Genomic DNA, 6,131 nt, shown 5'->3' with positions numbered 1-6,131 from the left:
AATTTCCTTGCTATCTTAGTTATTTACTTTGTGCAGCTCTAACATTACTTTTAGGAGGGAAAGGATCCATAGTATCAATTTGATAGTCCAAGAGTTCATATAGAACTCTTGAGAATATAGAACCTTAAGAATCTTTGCTAAGGAGACCTTTCTTTTTCCAGGTGGTCCTAGTTCACAGACAGCCTAGGCACAGCCAGACAACCATCGTCAGCAAAGTCATCTCTCATCACATAGTAGGCTGCACCCTTGTTAGCCTAAAAATCTATACGTTGAGTTCACTAACAGCACTAATTTCAATTTTGCATGTTGATCTTTTTATTAAGGTCCGTTTTCTTGAATCTTCAACCATTTTCTGTTTTCTTGTTATAGGAGACTGATGAGGAGGTATTTCTGGGAGTTGGTTTAATTTCCCCCCTTATTTAGAAGTTCTAAGCATATGTATTTTTAAGAATGTTTACTTGGTATTACATTTCCAAGTTATATTCCACGGGGCCTCATTGCTCCAAGGGTACAAATGAAAAACACTAAAATTAGAAAGTCACTTTGAACCTAAATATAATGTACTTTCATCCTCTAGTTGTAACATTTTTGACAGTGTTTTCCAATTTGTTCCGTGGACAAAGTCATATGTATTTTCTTAATTTTAATTCTGCAAAGAGAGTTTTACCTTTAATCCCACTGTAGAACTTACCAGTGTGAATATTTTCATATGTTAGGTTAGACAAGGTCTTTATCCTTCAAGAAGACCTATAATACTCTTCACAAAAATTGTGAGGGGCTACCTACAAACTGCCAATATGCTGGCCTTGATTTAATCTTCAGCTTCTTTATGAACTTTGACTTACATTCTAGGACATAATCAGATGTGATGTTTCTTCTCTTAATCTGGAAACTTATAGAAGCCTGTCCACAAACTTCTTTTCTAATAATAATGATATTTAATTTTAAAAATCCAATGAATTTCAGCACCTCGGTGAATAATAGTATCAAATAGGATTGAAAATACTTAAATCAGTGTTTTAAAGATGATCCTTATAGCTTATCATGAAAAAATACTGAAATTCTGTATTTGACAATATTTTCATCAAAATTTATTTTTGACTCTCTCTTCAATATTAACAAATAAGTGATGTTTCCCATCACTTGTCATAAGAAAGTAAAAGGCAGAATAGAAATCACCACATGTGCCCAAAATGAATAATGCTACAATTGTTCTTCCCACATCTGATCTAACTCAGAGCAAGGAAAACAACTAGCAAAGATATGCTGGAAATATTATTTAGCTGTAGTGTAGCATCAAATTATCAATTAATTATATTTTCATTTACTACCTTCTCTTTATGCCTTGTTCCTTTAAAAATCCCCCAATATTTTGGATTCTCCACAGAACTGAATTTTTCACATGACTTGGAGAAGTATGAAGGAAAGACAAAATTACATAAGAAAAGCATCTTAAAATTATCATTAAAAATCTAACTTGGTGTGATGGTTAATTATGTATGTCAACTTGGCTAGGCCATTATACCCAGATACTTGGCCAAACATTATTCTAGATGTTGTTGTGAAGCTATATTTATATAAGATTAATATGTAAATAAGTAGACATTGAATACAGAAAATTTTGGGACACATCCAATTATTTGAAGGTCTTAGCAGAAAAGACTGAACTGCTATTCTTTTCTGGGTCCCTACCTTACTGGCATCCTCTGAAATTTTTAGATGTGTAATTGTAATCAATCATATGGGCTAATTTCTTAAACTCTCTCTTGCATATATATATATATATATATATATATATGTGTGTGTGTGTGTGTGTGTGTGTGTATGTATATACACACACATATATATGCTTATATATGAATTATATATTTAATTATATAATAATAAATATCTGGGTATAATGGCCTAGCCAAGTTGACCCACAAAGTTAACCATCACACCACATTAGATCCTAACTGATAATTTTTGGATGCTTTTCTTATGTTATTTTGTCTTTCCTTTGTATTTCTCCAAGGCATGTTGAGAATTCAGTTCTGTGGAGAATCCAAATTATACATAAGATGTATAAAATTATATATCTTATATATAAATATATATGTTCCTAAATATATTTTTATATAATTGGTGTGCTGCTTCAGAAATCCCTAACTCATACACTTGATAATATAAAAAAATCATATAAAGAACAGTATTTCATTAATGCAATAAAATATGTGGTAGTAGTTATTTTGTCAGACCAGTTAAAATTGAGCTTAAAATTCTACCTTTTTCATAATTAAGAAAAATTGGCAGCTGGGTATGGTGGTTCATGCCTGCAATCCCAGCACCTTGAGAGGCTGAGGTGGGCAGATCGTTTGAGCTCAGGAGTTTGAGACCAACAACACGGTGAAACCCCATCTCTACTAAAAATACAAAAATTAGCCTGGGAGTGGTGGCACATGACTGAAGTCCTAGCTACTCAAGAGGCTGAGCCATGAGAATCACTTGAGACTGGGAGGCAGAGGCTCTGTGAGCTGAGATCACACCAGTCTGGTGACAGAGCAAGACTCCGTCTCAAAATAAAGAAAAAGAAAAGAAAAAGTTGCTCCAGCAGTCACTGTGGCATTCCAAGTGGTTTCCATTTTAGAGATCTCCATTTCACTGGCTTGCTAATATCAGTCACGGTATAATCATTTATTCAACCATGATTTATTGAGTACCTCTGTATTAGTCTGTCCTCACCCTGCTAATAAAGATATACCCAAGACTGGATAATTTATAAAGGAAAGAGGTTTAATTGACTCATGGTTCAGCATGACTGGGGAAGCCTCAGGAAACTTAAAACTGTGGCAGAATGAAGCAAACATGTCCTTCTTCACATGGTGGCAGCCCGGACAAGTGCTACACAAAAGGAGGAAAAGCCCCTTATAAAACCGTCAGACCTCGTGAGGACACACTCACTATCATGAGAACAGCAACATGGGGGTAACTGTCCCCATGATTCAACTAGTTTCACCTGGTGCCTCCCATGACACGGGGGACACAGCCAAACTATATCAGCCTCCTATGTGCAGGCTCCATTCTTAGGACTAAGAATACTATGAAATGAGACTAGATATTTCCTTGTGGAATTTACATTGTAGTCATGGGTATAAAACTACAAAAATAAACGGGGAAGTGAGGGAAATAATTAAAGATGATGATAAGTATTTAAAAAGAAATAAGCAGAATCCTGGGAGGCATAATAGCATAGAGTTATTCAGGGAAGGCGTCTAATGGAAAAAATAAAATCTAATACTGGAGGATACAGAAGATCCAGTCAAGAGCAGAGCCAAGAGAACATTCCATGCAGTGAAAACAACAAGTGCAAAAGCCTGAGATGGGACAAATCTTGAAATACCTAAAGCTGTAGCTTAAGGTTGATGAATGAAGGAGGGATGCAATGGCACAAGATACAGGGCTTTCTGGGGCATGTAATGTGATGCAATTGAAACACCTCAAGCATAGGTGATAGGAGACATTGATCTGATAAGTTATTTAAAAATTATGGTTTACTGTATAGATAAGACTTTGTAGGGGGGTTCGAATGGAAGTCAGTTACTTGACTATTGCAGTAGTTCAAGCAAGAAATTATGGTGGTTTAAGTTTACTGTTAGTAGTGTATCTATATGGTACTCTTATTCTGTAAAGTGCAACAACTGCCTCTGAGATCACCAAGATTTCTTCAATATAAATGATGCTTGATGATTTGCAGTAGTGGCACATCCAGGGAACATAGCCTAAAAATCCTAGGAGACAGAAGAACAGCCAACTGGAAAATGCTTCAAGATTTTCCTTAACCCAGTTAATTTTAAAAATCCAGGTACAGTATTAACTAAAGTGTGCTATGAATTTGTAATCTGACTATAATCCTATAATATGCATATTTTATATTTTAAAGTCCTATATATAATAATATATATATGAATGCCTGATGAGATAATATGTATCAATAAAGAATATTTTAGCCTAAAATACACACCAGAAAACTTGGTTACCAAGGTCTTTGTTTTTTTCATGTAAAATAAAATTCAAAGTTAGGAAGCCATTGGTTTGGGTCAGTAGCTCAAAAATTTAGTGCCAATCTACTCTTGCCTTCTCCCCATGGTCATAATATGATTGTTGCACCTCCAGCCATCATATCTGAATGTATCTGGACTCAAAACATTTTAAAAGAGAAAAAGTAAAGAGGTGGACTACTGCCTATCTCATTAGTAAAATCGGTGCCAATTTTTCAATGTCTTAATACAAAGAAGCTTTATAAATGATTTCACCGTGTATAACCTCTATCATAGATTTGCCAAGGGAGAAAGGAGGTTGATAAAACCCACATCTATAGTTGTAATACTTGATTTGAGGTTTTATTCCAAGTTAATAGTACAAAATTATTGTATTGTGCTTTTATTATATGACATTACATAAGTTAAAAAAAAAGTTAACATTTAAATACAGGTGGGTCTAGTTTTAAATTATGGTTCAAACCACACACTTTGTGACCTTTTAAAAAGATATAGCCTCTAGAGTTTAGTTTCCTAGTTCGTACAATTTGGTAACAAGGATTAGAGATGATGTTTATAAAGGATCTAGAAACCTACCTGTTACTCAATAAATGGTAGTTTTTTTATTCTTTATATATCCACATATATCTCCAGTACCCTATTCCTATTTTATAAGCAAAGTAGAGTGTAAATTTTAAAAAGAAAAAAATGCAGTAAAATTTCAAGCTTAAAGTTGGATGAAGCCATGTCTGCATGTGTTTCTCCATCTGTAAAATGATAAAGATAGACTGGGCTGTCCCTTCAGTTACTTGCAATTTTAGTATTTACCTATTTCTAGAAGATTACATATTTCAAGACAAAACAAATAGAAAACACATTGAGCAAATCTTAGGGTAGTTGTATCTGGACACCTAGGTGGAGCAGATTACAAATTTGTGTAGTGAAGTTGACCCTATTGTTTTGCCACATTAGGCAATAAGAGTAACAAGTTGTTTGAATTTACTAAAAAGAGAAAGCAGTTCAGTTTTGTCTTTGGATACATTTATTTTTTCTAGAACTGAACTCAAGTGGTAAGGTATCCTATGAGTTCTTGACAAAGGGTTCTGAAGAACAAAGTGGACAATATCTTTAAATGTGATTTTACAAAGTAGCAGAATGCAGTTCAACTGATTGAATCTTAGAAAAAATATCTCTAGAGGCAGAGAGAATTACTAGAAAATTGTAATGGAGTAGAAGTAGTTGTGTGTGGGCAGGAAATAAAGTGACCTAAATACTTCTCTGAAGCAAGGCTCAATACACTGAAATCCAGGCTTAAGGCAGAGCTAAAAATAGATGAAGTTTCTTATAAAGGAGAAAAATAGCACTTTCTCCAAAGAAAGTGCCACTGAGCCTAATAAAGGTATTAGATAATTAGATCTTTTTTTTTAAATAAACATTTTCCTTAATTTAGGGACTTGATGTGAGGTTATTGATATCTCTTTTGGAGCTGACCTAGCATCTGTGGAAAGAAGGAAGGAAGAAAGAATGGAAGGAGGGAGAGAGGAGGAGCAGAGGGTCAAAGAAGGAGGGAAGTAAGGAAGGAAATAAGAAAAAAAATAGTAAAAGAATGAGCCTCAAATTTGGAAAGAAAGAAGTAAAGCTATCTCTTCATGCATAACATAATCCTATACATAATAAATACCAAGCAATCTATTTTTTAAAGTATGACATTTAATAAACATATACAGCAAAGTTTCAGGGTACAAGGCCAACATGAAGAAATCAGTTGTGTTTCTCTACATTAGCAACGAGCAAGCCAATGATATCAAAAACTTCACCTGATGTATGATAGCATCAAACAGAATTAAATACATAGGGAAAGTTTTACCCAAAAGGTGAAAGACATGTACATTGAAAACAATACATTACTGAAATAAATTAAAGAAGACCTAGATAAATGGAAAGATACCCTGTGTTTATGGAATTAAGATTTTAATATTATAATACTAATATTACCTAAAGCATTTCATAGATTCAGTGAAATCTCTATCAACAGCTTTTTATTTTTTTTTTGGCCTAAATGGGAAAGTTGATCTTTAAGTAATATTGAGAAGGAAAAAACAAAGAGGAGATTCA

The sequence above is a fragment of the Homo sapiens genome, chromosome 4, assembly GCF_000001405.40.
Source record: "Homo sapiens chromosome 4, GRCh38.p14 Primary Assembly".
NCBI classification, from domain to species: Eukaryota; Metazoa; Chordata; class Mammalia; order Primates; family Hominidae; genus Homo; species Homo sapiens.
This window is presented reverse-complemented; position numbering follows the sequence as displayed.